Source organism: Homo sapiens, chromosome 2 (genome assembly GCF_000001405.40).
Source record: "Homo sapiens chromosome 2, GRCh38.p14 Primary Assembly".
In the NCBI taxonomy this organism is placed as follows: Eukaryota; Metazoa; Chordata; class Mammalia; order Primates; family Hominidae; genus Homo; species Homo sapiens.
This window is the reverse complement of record NC_000002.12, coordinates 165,786,828-165,804,474: the sequence shown is the minus strand read 5'-3', so window position 1 is coordinate 165,804,474 and position 17,647 is coordinate 165,786,828. Positions and strand designations below refer to the sequence as shown.

Genomic DNA, 17,647 nt, shown 5'->3' with positions numbered 1-17,647 from the left:
ATATATCAATTTGGAAGAATTTTATTTATTTTTTTCTAGTTATAATTTAATGGACCAAATTATACTATTAATATTATAAAGAATTACTTAGGATCATTTTAAAAATGATCCAAATCATTTTGGATATGTTTTAAAAATAACACCTACGGCTGAGTGTGATAGGCTCATGCATGTAATTCCAGCACTTTGGGAGGCCGAGGCCAGCAGATTGCTTGAGTCCAGGAGTTCGAGACTAGCCTGGGCAACATTTAGTAGAAACACTGTCTGTACTAAAAATACAAAAATTAGCTGGGCGTGGAGGCCACTTGGGAGGCAGGAGAATTGCTTGAACCCAGAAGGCAGAGGTTGCTGTGAGCCAAGATCACATCACTGCACTCCAGCCTGGGCAACAGAGTGAGACTCTGTCTCAAAATAAATAAATAAATAAATAGAAATAAAAATACCACATACCAAGTTATTATACAATTATACCAAAATTGTTACAATTTTTTAAAGAAACCTCATTATACTTAAAGTTATAAAGTACCCAAATGAACAAACAATGTTCCTATTCTTAAATGAAGCATTGTGTCAACCCGATTTTGTACTCCCTTTTTCCTCTGAGTTATCTAGAGTTTCCTGTGTTCCTCAATGTTTTGATTATAGAAATCAGTGTGTTTGCTTTTTGGTATGACACTGTTTCATAGCATCTTATATTTGAAGGAATCTCTACATGAAGTGAAATTAACAATTTTGGCTTTATTATATTTGAAAATATCGTAAAAATTTATACATGAAAACAAAGCCTTCTATTGCTTAATACTTCCACATGTTACTCCTATATGAATGGAACAAAAACTGGGACAGTAGAAATTGTTTATGAATGCCAAAGGGCAAGCTAACCATGACAAATTATTCACCCTTGGATTCAAGGTAAAATTATTTTACAACTTCTATGATGTAGTTTATAGAGCATGGGTTTTTGAGTCTGGCAGACCTGCTTTTACATTTCAGCTCTTTAGCTATGCATCTTTGAGCTTGTCACTGAGGTCTTCTCACCTGTTACGTAGGGTTTTCCGGAGACTAAATGAGATAATGTAGGAATAATTCCTGGCACAGAGTTAATACTCAGTAAATGTCCTCCCAGCTCCCACATCCCAGCTCAAAGTGGGGAGTAAGATTTTCTCAGTGTAAGAATGTCAGGCCATTGCAAAGGACAACAAGCTACTTCCTTATCATCCAAAGCACTTTCCAGTGTTTTACGTGCAATAAACCACAGACCTCTGGAACCCTGCCCTGTTGTCTCCTCCCACACACTTCATAGATATTTTCCTATGCATCTCTTGTATCCTTGGGGTTTAGGACAAGTGAGAGAAATAGTTGTCTCAGGGAATAGAAAAACTTACAGTGAAGGAAGGAGATGGAAATTAACAAGTGTCATCATCATCATCATCAGAAAAAGATTTTATAAAACATAAGTTGTGAATAACATGCTTCCTACATGAAATGTCAAAATAATAGAAAAATGCTATCATGCAGTTTTCTAAGGTAAAAGACCAAAGGAAAACCTACTGAGGCAGAACATTCAGCAGGTATTTCCTTTGTATCGATTTTGTGCGATAATTATCACTATGGAAGGCTTTATAGTGGGTGCCAGTTTCTGAAGACAGAACCAGGTGTATAAGAAACTTAATCTAACATTATTTTCCTATGTCTATACCTGAGGTTATTTTTTCTCTTAAATCCCTGTTACACCATGTGACAATAGCTAAATCTCAGTAAAATCAGGGACTTTTCCTGTTTCACTGGAGATGCAGCTAATTCCATGGATCCTATCTAGCATAAGGTATGGGATGGGAGTGGTAGGATGCATTTGTATGAGAAAATTAGGCCATTGTAGGTATCCAGGCTTTCATGTTCTGACACTACACCCTGGTCCCAATGTCAGCGGCTGAAGACAATGGGCCCTTTGATTATGGTCTACATGGTATATTTTTGTTTTGTATTATTACACAAGGCTTAAGTTTTACCAGTTCTTTGTGTTTCATCTAATATAAGGACTTTTTAAAAATAAAGGACCAGATAGTAAATGTTTTAGGCTTTGTGTACCATATGATCTCTGTCACAACTACCCAACTCTGCTATTGTAGTGTCAAAGCAGCCATAGACAACAGGTAAATGTATGGGTTTGCCTCTCTTCCAATAAAAACTAATTTACAAAAACATGTGGATCTAAACCATTCTCACCTGCACTGAAAAACCGCTTCTGGGCGCTCTGCATCTTTCTAGGGCACATGAGGGCTGTGGGACTGCTTAAGACCTGTCTGCCTCAGGACCCTCTTTAGAAATGTTTTCTGTTCTTACTTAACATTGGGCAAGGAATAACTCTGGGGTCTTACCAATCTCCAAGGTAGGGCCTATGACCCTAGCTTCACTTTTGTTGGTGAGTCCTCTCACCAGTCTGGTTTCAAAGGTCAAGACGCAGTACTAAACATCCTACTCTATGTAAATGGCGGTCCATGTAGTTGTGCCATATGGTATTCCAACATGGTGAGAGGCTACAGGGCTTTTACTCAGGTACATTGTCGATATCCACCTCCGACCCACGGTCTTACCCCTGACTCTCTTCTCCTTTCTCCAGTCTGCACCAATCAAGATTTGAGGTGGAAATAGAAAACTGGCTCAGACTGAGAACATATTCTTCAAAATATATGGTTTTTGGCATGGTTTTGTACAGAGTCCTTCAAGGCTTAAACTTCTAAAATTCCAATACATTTGAGCTTTTGCATTGCAAAAGCTTTCTCGGTATGAACAGGAAGAGTACAAAGGATGTACAAATGCAAAAAAGTGCTTATGTTCATGTTAAGAGACCAAACTTAGGTGAAACAGTTAAAACACTCTCTCAAAACTTACTGGCTTAAGACAACAACAAATTAGTATTTCTCATGATTCTGTGGGTTGACCAGGTGATTCTTCTGCTGGTATTTGCTTGGGTCCATCACCAGGTTGCATTGAGCTGGCAGGTGGCTGGGGGCTGTGCTCAGTGAGATCATCTGGGAAGCTGAGCCTCTCACTCCACATGGCCTTTCGCCCCAGACTTCTTCATGGTGTGGTGATCTCAGGGCAACATTCCAAGAGAGTGAAAGCAGAAAGTGAAAAATCTCTTTAAGACTTATATCTGGAAGTCACGCAACATCACTTCCACCATATTTGATTGGTCAAAGAAAGTTGCACAGCTACTCTAGGTTAAAAGGTGAAGAAGAGGACTTTACCTTTGATGAGAAGAGCAGCAAGACACATTCCAAAATGACACGCCTGTTGGAGAGGGAGAAATTTGTAGCCGTGTTTTACAATTCAATACCAACTTTCTGTGAATCAAATACACAATGGATCTTCATGAAGGCTATGATTTTTACTAGAAAGTTTAGATAGTTATGCCAAACCTGTACAGAGTTTGCAGTGAGAAGAGAAGGAGAGACAAAGAAATTGGATGTTGCTCCTGGTTTAGCTTCTCCGCTCCCTGTACATTCTCAGGAGTGAAGCCACTTCTTTAAATCTTGGGGGGAATGTATCCCCAAAGATTCTCCTTGGGCGTTCAGAAGATGTCCCACATGGATGACATTTTTTTGCCTTCTACTCTTCCCCTGTCCACCTTTAAAAAAATCATTTTCTAAGCCCTTTAACCCCCTCCCTACTACAATATCCCCATCCTCACTCCGTTTTTATATGTTGTACACTAACTCTTCCAATAGAAACAAACTTCCTTCTCTTGCAATGACTTGACTTTTTGTATGCAACCCCAAATGTCAGCTGCCTGTCAGGGACTCCTGTCCCTGAAGCTTTGCAGAGGGGAGAAAGGGAATGTAATCTTAGGGTCTGTTGACTTACTTGGGAATAGAGAATTGGCATATTCTGATTTTGTGATTGGATGTAGGAAAGGAGTATGGTGATGGGATTCTACCTTGGGCAGCAAATGCCTTTTCTCCTGGTAAATAAAAAGTAAAATATATAAATATACAGAAAAAGTGTAATTTCCTTCAAAATTCCCCTTCTAACATGCATAAAAATTATTTCTCTTTTTACCTTAATAACCAAATGCTATTCCTTTTGGCCTGTTACCTCAAACCTAATATGCTAAAAGAGCATCCTCATCCTCTACGGCTTGAATTCCTTAACAAATTATTATAACTTATCTGGCAACAAATTATATCAAACCCAGGTACCATCTCTCCACAACTCTCCCTTATTGGAGTCAAGAGAGAGGTGAGGGCCAAGGGAGGAAGGAAATTTACTTTATGCCAATGCATTGGAATTAAGAAATATCAAGGTGATTTGAACTGATCCAGGAGGCTTGTATTAGTCTTGTTCTTATGCTGCTAATAAAGACATACCCAAGACTGGGTAACTTATAAAGGAAAAAGGTTTAATTGACTCACAGTTCCACATGGCTGGGGAGGCCTCACAATTATAGCAGAAGGCGAATGAGGAGCAAAGTCACGTCTTACATGGTGGCAGGTAAGAAGAACTTGTGTAGGGGAACTCCAATTTATAAAACCATCAGATCTCATGAGACGTATTCACTACCACAAGAGCAGTATGAGGAAAACCACCACCATGATTCAATTATCTCCACCTGGTCCAATCCTTGACATGTGGGGATTATTATAATTCAAGGTGAGATTTGGGTGGGGACACCGCCAAACCATATCAAGACTCCATGGGAGACTAGGGTCTTCAGTTGGGCTGGAGGGGATTTGGAGAGGGGGAAGAAAATCATATTAGAAGATACAAAGACTTTCACAGGTGGGAAACTGACTGTGGTATGATCAGAGGAAAATAAGAGATCTGAGTTTTTTTTTAAAATAAGTGACGTATTCTATTTCCATATTTCTAAAATTATAAGGTGTTCATTGAATAGAACGTTCTTTGTATGAAGGTCTGGTAGCTAGAATTAATATTCTTATTATTTTTCTTACCAATAGAAAATTGTAAATTGTTAATAGGTATTCTACCTCTTGTTTTTGTGATATGATGCCTCTAATGACATTGTCATAGTTTAGGATCTGGATAATTGACACAATGTGGCTTAATAAAAGTCAGGGCTGGGCATGGTGGTTCCTGCCTATAAGCCCAGCACTACAGTAGGCTGAAGAAGGAGGATTGCTTGAGTCTAGGAGTTCGAGAACAGCCTAGGCAACATAGTAAGACCTCATCTCTCCAAAAAATAAAATAAAATAAAATAAAAGCCAGACATGATGAAACATGCCTGTAGTCCGAGATATTCAGGAGGCTGAGGTGGAAGGATCACTTGAGCCTGGGAGGTTGAGGCTGCAGTGAGCCATGATTGCACCACTGTGATCCAGCCTGGACAACAGAACAAGACCCTGTCTCAAAAGACAAAAATATCCCTGGCCTGGTGGCTCATGCGTGTAATCCCAGCACTTTGGGAGGCCGAGACAGGAGGATTGCTTGAGTTCAGGAGTTCAATTGCAGCCTAGGCAACATAGTGAAACCCCCATCTCTATATAAAACAAAAACAAAATAAAAGTCAATTAGAAGAAAATCGTAATAAATGTTTCAACAGATGAAGAGTATGATCATTATAGCACTGGTTGCAATAGCAAAATTTGGGAGCAATCTTCATTGTCCAACAGTAATTGACAGATTAAATCCTTACAAAGGGATATCAGGCAGCCATTAAAATAATACTGTAAAATAAATTTATTGACATTTAATTATATGTCAAGTAGAAAACTCTGGCTACAAAACAAGTCCCCAGAATGATCTAGTTTTTATTTTACAAACCTGTCTCTGTATCCCTCTATGTTCCCCATTCCATGCCGTGCCTCCTGCCAACTTTTTCAATAAAAAAAATCTGCAAAGATACATGATAGAAAGGGTCTGATAGCACTGATTCATCTTGGTATAAGGAATTCTGAGTATTTCAAAGCTAGTTTCTTTGCAGTTATGTGTATTTTCTGATTTCTCTGTAATGAATATTAATTTCTTTTCAATTTAAAGAAACATGTTACAGAAAAAGAGAAATCAATTTAGGAAAAGAGTGAGTGAGGGATACTCGAGTACATCACTGAGGTCAACATCATGCAAGACTATCACCATAGTTTTCCACAAAATATTCTTTGGTGCCACTGTCAGAATTTAGAGCCAGTTAGATTGAATATTATTCTGACTCAGCATGACATTTCTTTTTGCTCTTATGCTAATGCTTAAAAGCTTGAAACAATGCACTCTATTCAATACATTTCATCAAATATTTATTGAGTGCCTACTATGTGCCAAGTACTAAGAATACAAGATTAGCAAGACATAGTTTTGTTGTAATCTAAGTCAACCCCTCATAGTATGTGAACCACTTTGAAAATCTGAGATGATTGTTCTGAGATTCTACAGGGGGAAGAATCATATAAAACAATGTCCAAAAAAGTTCATACTAAAATAACCTATTTATATTTTCCCTGTTTTAACTTGCTATATTTTAAACACAATGTAGAATTATGTTGGATCATTATTTAAAAAATACCCACGTGTTTGTGGCTCTTCACTGTGATACCACCTCTATTCTCTGCTTGAATCAATAGCATTTCAACACTTTTACTGCTTTGAGAAGAAATTATTCCAGTCTGTTCAGTCTTTGAGCCAAATCTCTCAGTCTGACTTTGAGATCCTCACTAAAAGCTCTAGTTCCCTCATGAGGCAAAACTGTTTCTAGAGTATGTTTCAAAGCAAAGTTGTGTAACCAACAATTAAACAATTAACAAACTAAAATAGTTTAAAGTTAGGCTTAGTAACTTTACACATTTACTTGTTACATTATATATTACAACTATTTTTTATGAATTAAAATTTCGATCTCAGCTAAATAATTTCAGTTTCTTCATCTTTGCTGTCCCATTAATTATTATTGCTATATCCAGAAGGTTTCATTTATTTATTTATTTATTTGCCCAATTCTCTTGGCATAGAGTTTATATGAATCAGAATGTAAAGAAGCCTGTAGATCATCTTGTACCACTATTTTGTTTTGTGGAAGAGAATATTTAAGCCAGATGTAAAGTAATTTGTAGGAGTGTAAGTTGTTTTGCGTAGTGTCTTTTGAAATGTAGGTATGTGAAAGCTGGTAGCTATTGTTCTTAGAACTTTGCAATTCAGATTACCAGTCTAGTGTTCTTATCTGCCTTGGATTATTTGTCATTACTGTTGGGTAAAACCATTCTTTAGACCTGTAAATTGCTCAAGACACTAGGCATTTTTTTTATGGTACTTGATGGGTCAATTTATTCATTTAACACATATTTATTAAGTACCTACTAAGTGCCAGGTGCTGGTCTTGGCATTAATTTAAATGTTAACAGAAAGTATTAAGGAGTGAGTATTGTTTCAAATCCATGCAAATGAGCATTTTGTGGCTAGTCGTGTGTGTGTGTGTGTGTGTGTGTGTGTGTGTGTAATAAGTACGTGTGTGTGTGTGAGAGAGAGAGAGAGAGAATGTTTGTTTCCTTCCTGTGTAAAATCTGCCCAGTTTTCTATCTTAACTGTCATTATATGTCAAACATATACTATTAAAATTAGCTTATTTCTGAAGCATGTCTACACTAAGGTTCCTGGATTTTATTTATGATGAAATGCTAATTTCTCTTTATGAAACAAATTCTTTATTTCATAATTTTGAATAGGATGGTACTTTCAAAAACCTGCATCTGATTAGATTTGGGGCATTAAATATTTCAATATGATAATATTTTTTTCTTGGGCCTGCAGCATTTTAATTTTATTGTCACATAGAAAATTTTTTATTAATATTAAGACTTTGCTTTCAGAATGCTTTGAAATAGTACAAGCAACGTTGTGTAAAATAGTACAGGTGGAGCATCCCTAATCCACAGATCCAAAATCTGAAATGTTCCAAAATTCAAAACTTTTTGAGCACCAACATGACACCACAAGTTGAAAATTCCACACATAAGTACTTTACACAAACTTTGTTTCATGCATAAAATTATTTACAATGTTTTATAAAATTACCTTAAGGCTATGTGTATAAGGTGTATATGAAACATAAATGAATTTTGTGTTTAGACAGGTCTCATCCCCAAGATATCTCTCTCTCTCTCTCTCTCACTCTCTCTCACTCTCTCTCTTTCTCTCTCTCTATATATATGACACTCAACGTGCACAAGTAATGCCACACTCAGAAAAACTGCTTCCTTCTTTAAATTGTCTGTCTCCATTGTAAAACTGACAGTCAAATTTTAGTAACTCCTGATCTTTTTTGTTTCTTCTGTTCTTTTTAGACTCCTCATCCAGCATTTTGGTCCTGTTTGCTGGCTCTCTCTTTTAATAGGTCTACCCTAGCTTCTCTTTTCAGTTGTTATTTGACGTTACTAGTCTTGCTGTCAATGCATCTCAGTCCTTGGATTCCAGATTGTTATTCTATATCCATCTGCTCTGTCCTGATTGTCAGTGAAAAGTGTTGCTCTTCGCCTGGTGGGACATCAAAACTCTGACAATCTTTGGCTCTTCATTCAGAGATGGGTGGTGCGTGCAAAAGGGTACAGGTTTCTTGGTTATACATTTAGGATACCTTACAAATTTTCCAAAGACTAACATTAACCTCTGGTTAGGGGTAAACGACAAAGTGGCACAACGAAGAAGAAGGAGAAGGAGAAGAGAATTTCAGTAGTTAGTATTTTCAGTTCTGGACCTGGACCTAAGGAAAAACACTGCCAAGTTAGTATATCAATACACACAAGTATCTCCTGAACTATTTTTTTGTTTGTTTGTTTTTGGAGGGAAAGGGAGCTTGGCAATTGCTTGTAGGTACTGATATTAAAATGTTGCAAATACATGGAGGTTCCTTGGTGCTCGCAAAATAACCATGACATGTAAAACAAGCAAAGAACTACCTAGTTTACTAAAGTCTTAAACCCTAACTCATAGATGTCCTAGTATAAAATAGCACTATGGATGCTAAAACCAATGTCTTAGAGTAGTCAAATACTAAAGATACACTTGTTGATACTATACTAAACTGTATTTTAAACCTTATTTTTAGGTCACGCATAGCACTAATAAAACAGTGAATAAGCACCATAAGAGCATGTCAAAATGTAGGAGGAAGGCCACAACTAAACTTCATAGTAAAACCTACCACCATGTGATTAAACACGACACCAAAAAGTTTTTAGCTAGTTTTCTATTTATATCCCTAGATATCTTTGGGATAGGGCCAAAGAAATGAGTTCATAGAAAGGTATAAAGGCCATTTTAAGTCCTGGTTTTGGGTGTGTCAATGTTTGTTGCAGCAGCAGAAGGAAGGCTGAAACAGAAAGTTGTGTCATAAATGGAACAAATACTGTTTAACAATTTTTTTTTGTCTTAAAAACAGCAAAACCCACCATCTTCCTGGAGTCTGCGTTGTTCTCTTCCAGAATAGATGTTGAGCTTTTAAACAAACCTGCAGTAGAAGCAAGCCCTCTCCAGGAAATCCCAATCTCTTTCCAAACAGGGACAGCAAAGGTTCTCTCTGTTGTGGCTGTTTTTCCCTCTCTTCTGGGAATTGGTTTGCCTTCTGAGAGCATCCCAGGAAGGGGAGGTGCGCCCCAAATTGGCGAGGCTCTGCCAAATACCAAAGGCTCTTCTTTGGAAGAAGACTCCTCCTTTGGACGTGAGGCGCCCCTACCAGAGCGCCCGCGTACAGAAACGGAAACCACTAGCTGCGCTGAAGTGAGTCAAGTGATGAAATCAAGACTACACGGGAAGGAAGCTCACGAAACCTAACTGGTGACAGAAGCTGCTGAACCCTGCCCGAAGAAACCACATGAGCCAGCAGTTGCTGCCCTCCCGAAGTGGTCCTCGGAGGCAGCGCACCCCTTCATTTTGGCGAACCGAGGAGGAAGGGAGGAACCGTGTGGGGGAAATCTAGAACTTCTGGTTCCCCAAGGACCCAGCAGACTGTGTTCTGGCTACAAGGTGATCACTGCCACCAGGTCAGTGCAGGATTCCTCCAATGTAGATGGGCCGGGAGCCACAACTTGCGCGGAGCAGCAGCCTCGCCGACCACTCAGAGAGAAGCCGCGCGACAGCCAGGCTTGGCCCGGACGGCGCCCCCACCCTGCGCGCGCGATCCAAGGTTCTCACCTGGAGCGCTCAGGTAGGGCTGGGGCGGGGCGGGAGGCTGGCGCGCAGGCGCGGAAGTGGGGCCTCGCCCCTGCCGACGTCGCAGGCTGGAGCTCACCTGGGAGACTCCAAGTGGAAGCCGAGCCTCGGTTCTGCCTCTCCAGGCAACGCGGGAGGCCCAGCGGGAAGGCAGGAGGCGGCGGCGGAGGAGGAGCTCTACTGAGCCGCAACTGTGGCGACAGCAACCGGAGTCGCAGCCGCCGCCACCTGCACCTGGCGCCTAGCCCACGTCCAGCGCCTGCCCGGCCGCCGCTTCCCGCCACCCTGCCCTGCCCACCCGCCAGGTAAGCCGGCGGCAGGCGGAGGGAGACGCGGTACCCCTGGGCTGCGTTAGAGCAGGCGGGAGGACGGCCGCAGGGGTTCACGTGTTGGGGACAGGGCTACGGTCCAGGTGGCCGGTTGGAGACGGTCTCGAGAGCAGTGTGTCGGTTGCCCCTGGAGAGATCCCGAAAGGGGCGCCCTGGGCCAAGGGGCAGGTGGCGCCTCGGGGGGGAGCCCGGTCACACCCTCTCGCCCACGGTGCCCCCGCCAGTCCCTATGGGGCGGCCCCTGAGGAGCTGGACGGAGACCAAAGACCTGGTGGCCCCGGACTTGCCCTTGGGAGGGTCGCAGCGTGGGGACCCTGAGAGGGAGGGCCCGGCGGGAGGCGGGCGCGCTTCCACTCCGGCTAGCAGGTTGCCTGTCTCCTCCAGCCTCTCTGCCCGAGAGGACATCCCGCGACAGCGAAAGACATGGCTTTGCCAGGCAACTTTCCTAGCCGGGGACCCCAAACAGTTCTAGGCTGCAAACCGCGGCCGCCGAGCCATTTAAATGGTTTCCGAGTGGTTTGGAAAGGGCTCTGTGGCCGGGACGCGGACACCCCTCTCTCTCTGTTTCGACTCTGCACTTTTCCGGGTGCGCTCTCCAGGCCAGAGTTGGGCCCACTTTCCTGATCAATGGAGAAGAGTTCTTTTCTTCCGTGGCGGGAAGAAATCCAACTGCCACGCACCAACCACTCACCATCTCGTTAGAGGACCTGTTGACTTAAGGACCTGCATATCGCGGCTATGGTTTGCCTGTGGCATATGACTCAAAGGTTCAAAAAAACATTGTTTCAGGATCCTGCCACGTCTAAGCTTGGGTGTGCCAGGCCCAGATTCCTTTCCCTGCCTAATTAGGCTTTTCTGAAGCCTAAGAATTGAGGGTGAAACTGGCGCTTACCTTAGACTTTTATTTCCTTCTCTTTCCAACTCATCAAAGAAACTATTTCTGTTTTAAGAACCCCATCGAGTTACCAATATTTCCGATTCTTGAAAACGTTAACATAACTTGCTATAGAAGTTACACTACATAATGAAGACATTTACAGTCAAATTCTATAGCTAAAAAATATTAAAGTGACAGCATTTTAATTAGAAAATCTCTGCTTGTGGGAAAATCTGTTGCTTCTTTTATTGTATATATTTTTCTTTGCGTTTGTGGCTAAAATCCATGAGGTTAAAGTCACACGCTGCCATTAGATTCTTTTTTTTAATTTAACTTTTAATATCTGAAATCTAGTGCACATGTTAAACTTTCCAAGCAATTTGTACCGAGAATCAATCTTTATATATTGCTTTAACCAACATTTTTACGTAGAAGTTTCTGATAATAATAACAATTCCATTGTTTTGTTCTATCTCCACACATTTTAAAAATATTTTTTAAATTGCACGTTTTACTTAAAATGCCTGATGCAACATGTAGTGGGGTTATTTTTCTTCTTCTTTTTAAGATTAGATGGAAATCTAAAAGCCAACCACAGCATAACATGATGTAATTATTAATTCAATCACCACTTTTCTACATTTCTTAAAAGGATCTCACCTGACCTCTTAATCTTGTCTCCATACAGAGAAACAAATGTGCTAAATACTGTTTAAATATGAGATATAGGAGTTGTTCCCTGAATTTTGAATATTAGTCTTCATTACTTACTAGGCAGATGTTACCAGACTGTCTTTCCTCTTAACCTCTAGTGAGAAATGTAACATGTTTTCATTAGCTAGAGTAACAGTGTAACTTAATCTATCTGTTAAATAGGAAAAATAATACTTTCCTAGATTAAGATAACAAAACCTTAAAAACAATCAGGAGTATCTTCCAGCCCTAGCATTCTCGAGATCCCTTTCTCACTTTGGAGATTCAATACTCAAACCATCCATTTATGAAAAATTGAAGCCAAGAGAGGTATTCTAACTTCATTTCACTCAGAGATGGCATGATCATTCCAGTGGCTTGACTCATGACTCCTGTATCTTACTTTTCACCACCCACATCCTCACTTACCATAAGATGTTTATCTTTTTTCTTTCATATAATTTGTAAGGCCTTTGTAATTACAGAATTGTCCATTGCTCTTTCTTCACTCTGATTTACCCTCATTTCTACTTGTCCAAATATTGCCTGACTTCGTGGAAACTACCCAGTGAAGGCATCATGCTCCTCTCATTGTGGAATAGCATGCATATTGATGATGCCATGTCAGTTGAGACTTTTAGTTCCTTCTTGGTATTTCCAAGCCACAGTTAATTTTTTAAGTCAATGTGGATAACATTATTTAGTCTTCTGATCTTTTTATTATATTGGCTTAAAATATATTTTATGAGGCAGCTACCCAGTGCCTTTCATCCATTTGCAACACTCCAGATTTTTTATTTCAAGCACACTTCCTTAACACTAAGTTTCTTTAAACTTTTTTTTCCTTTTACTGCAATCCTCAATAACTAATTTATTCTCTGCCTCAACTCTGTAAACTCCAATGTGAGTGTATATAAATGAAACAAGTTTTATTAATATAAAACAGTGCTTAACCTTACAACATGTATGTTCTTTATTATTTTATTTTTAAAAACGTTGGTCTAAACAATTAGACTGCTTTATGACCACGAAAGTGCTGGAGCCCTCAATGTGAAAATAGCACTATTCTGTTGAATTTTTGTTCTTTTAAAGGCTGATTTTTCTACCAGCTTTCTTTTTCTCTGTCTCATACATGCGTATACACACACACACACACACACACACAGGCACACACCCACTCACATGAAAGAAAATAAATTATTTCTTAAAAACTTTACTGTAATCCTAATTAAACATGTATTGTAGGGCTTGAGGCTCCAGGACCTTGGTGCTAGATTAAATCTTTCAAATATTAAGAACTACATGAAACCTTGTTCATTATACATATTTTGTGTTAAATGGGTTCTCATCATGCTGTAGTGTATTTGGGAACAGGAAAAACTAGAAATATTTTTTTCTGAGGGGATTTTGATGATAAGAATTCAGTGAAATTTTGAGGGAGAAACCTTCTGTCCAGCTCTATTCTGAACTCTTAAAGTTTTATGACTGAGTTAGAGTTCTGGGTGGAGTCTGAAAATTTATTAGAGAAAACATAGCCAGTTTATTATTTGGTTTATATTCTGTTAATATTTAATGCTTTTCTTTTTTACTATGAAACAAGTATGAGACAAATTGTAGGAATTACACTCCCCCTCTCCACAAAAAGACTACATTGAGAGATTAAAATAGATCCCTCAATGATTTGTAGGAATGTAGTCTTGGAAGCTCTGATTGGATAATTAAGCCTTCCGTAGACACTTTCAATTTTAACCTGCCTTTACATTCTTGGTGGGTGAAATATTTCTCCTAAGGAAAATATTATCATATTTAGGATTTTAGAAATGATCAGTGCCTGAATCATCTTCACATGTATTCAGTTCTTTAGTCCATCAAGTGCAAAAATACATTTGGAATGATAGATACTTTATAGATATAAAATCCTATTGAAAAGGAAGGTGTTTTCAGTTAGCTGTTCAATTATGCATTTAGTTAGTATCAAAATAATTCATACTATGTAATTTGGGTGAAATTTAACACAACTCATGTACACTAAGGGGGAAAACTGAATTCAAATCAATTCCAGCAGTGGCAAGAGACAAAAGTACATTCACTTATTGCAAAGCAAAGACAAGTAGGACTCTGAATTCTAGGTCATTAGAGACTACTGACAATTATATGACACTTCCTTGGGTCATTCTCAGAGTTGGGCTCTTATTTTTGGCACTAAAGAGAGAATATTCCCCCAAGTACACCTTTTCCCTATAATTGTTTCAGTTTCAAACTGTCCAAACTAATTTTCTTTTCTATATGATTGCCTATTGGACATCTTTAACATTTGTTCATCACTGGAGATTATATATGTTCAAACCAGAACCTTCATCTCATCAAAAAACAAATGAACAAACAACCTGCTCACTCTCTGTATTCTATTTATAGATAGTAGTACATTGTACCATTTCTTATCTATAATTCAAAAATCATCCTCTGAAAACAAAGCAAAACAAAATTTAACTCATTTGTTAGCAAAACTTGAACTCAGTTGGAGCAAAGCCTGAGTGAACTGTCAGGAGGCTATTGTGATTGTGTATTCAACTTAGTGGATTATGTCCAGCTGCAGAAATAGTGCTGTTTGATTACATAATACTGCCCAGGCCCTGCTGGGGTACACTTTTACATTGATTATGTAAACCATATCACCTTTCTAACATCCAAAAAAATCAGATTTTTTTTTTTTTTTATGAGACAAGGTCTCACTATGTTGCCCAGGCTGATCTTGAACTCCTGGACTCAAGTGATCCTTCCATGTCAGCCTTCCAAGTAGCTGAGACTACAGGCTGTCAAATCCTGAATTTTGAAATATATTTTGCTGCAGAGATTTGGGAGAGTGAATCATAAATGTGTACTACCATCCAGGTGCCATACCAGAAATCCAGAGGTAATTTTAAACTCTTTTTCTTAGCCTCTACAACTGCTATGGTCTGAATGTTTGTGTTTTTCCAAAATTCATATGTTGAAATCAAATCCAATGTATTGGTATTAGGAGTAGGGTCTTTGGGAGGTCATCAGGTCACGAGGGCCTTGGCCTCGTGTGTTTTTGTAAAAGATAATGTCCTTATAAAAGAGGACTGAGAAAGCTTGTTAGCCTTTTGCCCTTCCTCCATGTGAGGATACCTAGGAGGCCATCTATGAGGGATGTGCCCTCGCCAGACATTGAATCTGCCAGCAGCTTGATATTGGACTTCCCAGCTTTCTGGCTGTGAGTGGTATATTTGTGTTGTTTAAATTACCCAGTCTAAGGTATTTTGTTATAGCATGAACTAAGACAACAACCATTAGAACACTGAATCCACTTAACATTTTATACCTTTCTCCCAGCCATAAATTCTTTCACTTCTACTGATCTAGTTTAAGGTCTTAACATCTCTCAACCAAGGTATCATAGCTGCCTCCTACCTGGTATCTCAGCAGATAGTGTTGTCAACCTCAAGTCCACCATCTGGAGGATGAGGATGATCTTTTTAGAAATGCAAATTCTCTCTCTCACTTAAAATCCTTCAACAATTTTCTGTTGCTTACCGGATAGAACCCACAGCCCTTAAAATGGTCCCATGGGATCTGAGACTTGCTTAACTCTGGAGTGATACTCCATAAGCCGAAATTTTATTTCCCAGCAATAGACTTCTTATTGTTTTTTTTTTCTTGTGTGCTTTTCTTTTGCACTTCCCACTGCAGAGAGTGCCTTTCCTTCTATCTTTACATCTATCTATAGCTCTTAATGGCTCTTAAAACTCAAAGAAGGTCTTGCTTCATTTGGGAAACTGTGTCCCCTCACCCACACCTCCACATATACCTGAGCAGGGTGAGGTGTCCTGTGTATACTTCTATTATTTGCTTGATACGATATAAATATAGTCTGCTTTTGCTCTTGTCTGTATACACACACACACACACACACACACACACACACACACACACCCTTTTGGATTATTTGCAAAACATGCAAAATTTCTCTTTCCATTAAGCCTTTTGTGGAATAAAAATTTTGGGGTAGAAATGTCACAGAAAGGGGAGAGGCATCGGCAGGCAATATAAGTCAATCTGCCTTTTTTTTTTTTTTTTTTTTTTGAGGTGATGTCTTGCTCTATCGCCCAGGCTGGAGTGCAGTGGCGTGATCTTGGCTCACTGCAAGCTCTGCCTCCTAGGTTCATGCCATTCTCCTGCCTCAGCCTCCCAAGTAGCCGGGACTACAGGTGCCTGGCTAATTTTTTTGTATTTTTAATAGAGACGGGGTTTCACCGTGTTAGCCAGGTTGGTCTTGATCTCCTGACCTTGTGAATCTCCCGCCTCGGCCTCCCAAAGTGCTGGGATTATAGGTGTGAGCCACCGCGCCTGGCCCAATCTGCCTTTTTAATGGGAAGTAACCAAAGAAACTGGGGAGTAGCGAACTTGTTTCACTGACTTAATTAGTCTATTTAATTTGGATTGCTGTTACTTCTATCTTTTTACTTTGAATTCTATTTTATTTTGGGACCTTTTGGTTCTGTTCCAAGATCTTGGGGTTTTATCATTTAAAAGTGAAAAGTTAACTTTGTAATTGAAATGTCTTGCAGCTTTTGCTTATACATATTCCACAATTGAGTATATTATTATTGTTGAGGAGCTTAAAGGGAGCAGCCTTTACTTAAAAAATATAATTGAGTTAGACTAGACCAAACAAAGAAAAACAAAAATAAAATGAGGCAAAAGATTTCTTGGAATTAGCAGTCCTTTCATCTCTTTTTGGCTAGTCCTATGCCAAGTTCTGTAAGTTTTACCTTCTAAATATTCCTCAAATCCATCTACTTTTATTCATTCCTATCTCTATCATCATCTCTTGCCTGGACTTTTGCCATGGCCTCGCTGTTTGTCTATCTGAGCTCATTCTGGCTTCTTGCTTGTTAGTTCCTCACCCTGCACCCAGAGTGATCTTTTCAAAATATGTGGTTATGTTATACCCTGCATAAAGCCCTTCATGGCCCTTAAGATAAGGCAAACTCCTTAACATGCCCAAAGGCCTGGCATGATTTGGCTCCCATCAAACATATAGCACACTCATCATTGCTCCAGCTCCACCAATCTTTTTATATTGCTCTGTTCCTTCTGCCTCTAGGTCTTTGCAAGTGGGCTTCCTGGCCTGGAAGGCTCTTCCCTCCCATTTTGGCATAACTACTTAACATGCAGTCTTCAAATTCCAGTTTGAGCTCCCACTTTTTCATCACTAACTGTAACTTGGAATTTTTCAACAGTCTCACCACATCCTTCCCCCTAACTATGGGTTAGAGTGAAGGCTGTAGGCTAAAGAAATAAAGTCCTATTTAGTACCTGGGAGCATTAACTTATAAAAACAAAAGTTTCCCCACGAAGGAGGCAGACATTAATATATGGCCCATATTTTTAAAAATAGATTTTAGTTATTAATGCCTTTATATTTTTATCAAGTAATAATAGTTTATATTTATTCTCATAATAAGTACTGGTCCTTATTTACTATTGAACACTTACATGGCAGGCATATTTTAAGCAATTTACATGAGTTTACTTATTTAGTCTTCAAAGCAACCCTATGAGGTGCATA

The 17,647-nt window shown here is 39.4% G+C and overlaps 2 protein-coding genes across 5 annotated transcripts in view, besides 5 other annotated features; one reads left to right on the top strand and one right to left on the bottom strand.

Annotated features, from left to right (window-relative positions):
- Window positions 1-718: 718 nt before the first annotated feature.
- Window positions 719-10,889, bottom strand: LOC124906086 (uncharacterized). Its single transcript, XM_047446887.1, has 6 exons — window positions 10,683-10,889; window positions 10,138-10,556; window positions 9,396-9,675; window positions 3,868-3,964; window positions 3,252-3,294; window positions 719-3,096 (listed from the first exon to the last, which is right to left on the bottom strand). The coding sequence occupies exons 1-6, from the start codon at window positions 10,887-10,889 to the stop codon at window positions 2,913-2,915; spliced, it is 1,230 nt and encodes a 409-aa protein (XP_047302843.1). The 3' UTR covers window positions 719-2,912.
- Window positions 9,666-10,571: an enhancer, noted in NCBI's record as "H3K27ac-H3K4me1 hESC enhancer chr2:166650414-166651319 (GRCh37/hg19 assembly coordinates)". NCBI's record gives its function as "activates a minimal SCP1, AML or CMV promoter by ChIP-STARR-seq in primed H9 embryonic stem cells {active_cell/tissue: H9 hESC(primed)}" and the evidence as "EXISTENCE:reporter gene assay evidence [ECO:0000049][PMID:30033119]".
- Window positions 9,666-10,595: a biological region, named in NCBI's record as "H3K27ac-H3K4me1 hESC enhancer GRCh37_chr2:166650414-166651319".
- GALNT3 (polypeptide N-acetylgalactosaminyltransferase 3) overlaps window positions 9,783-17,647 on the top strand; it is a 47,105-nt gene continuing 39,240 nt past the window's right edge. For 2 of the 4 annotated variants that reach the window (NM_004482.4, XM_047443883.1), the window contains exon 1: window positions 10,228-10,460. The gene's annotated coding sequence lies outside the window, so the exon portion shown is untranslated. Of the gene's footprint in view, window positions 10,151-10,227; window positions 10,461-17,647 lie in introns of those variants that run through there. The other 2 variants (XM_011510929.2, XM_017003770.2) reach the window with 2 other exon arrangements.
- Window positions 10,286-10,435: a silencer, noted in NCBI's record as "silent region_12068". NCBI's record gives its function as "represses an Ori minimal core promoter by ATAC-STARR-seq in GM12878 lymphoblastoid cells {active_cell/tissue: GM12878}" and the evidence as "EXISTENCE:reporter gene assay evidence [ECO:0000049][PMID:35858748]".
- Window positions 10,506-10,595: a silencer, noted in NCBI's record as "silent region_12067". NCBI's record gives its function as "represses an Ori minimal core promoter by ATAC-STARR-seq in GM12878 lymphoblastoid cells {active_cell/tissue: GM12878}" and the evidence as "EXISTENCE:reporter gene assay evidence [ECO:0000049][PMID:35858748]".
- Window positions 10,572-11,478: an enhancer, noted in NCBI's record as "H3K27ac-H3K4me1 hESC enhancer chr2:166649507-166650413 (GRCh37/hg19 assembly coordinates)". NCBI's record gives its function as "activates a minimal SCP1, AML or CMV promoter by ChIP-STARR-seq in naive H9 embryonic stem cells {active_cell/tissue: H9 hESC(naive)}" and the evidence as "EXISTENCE:reporter gene assay evidence [ECO:0000049][PMID:30033119]".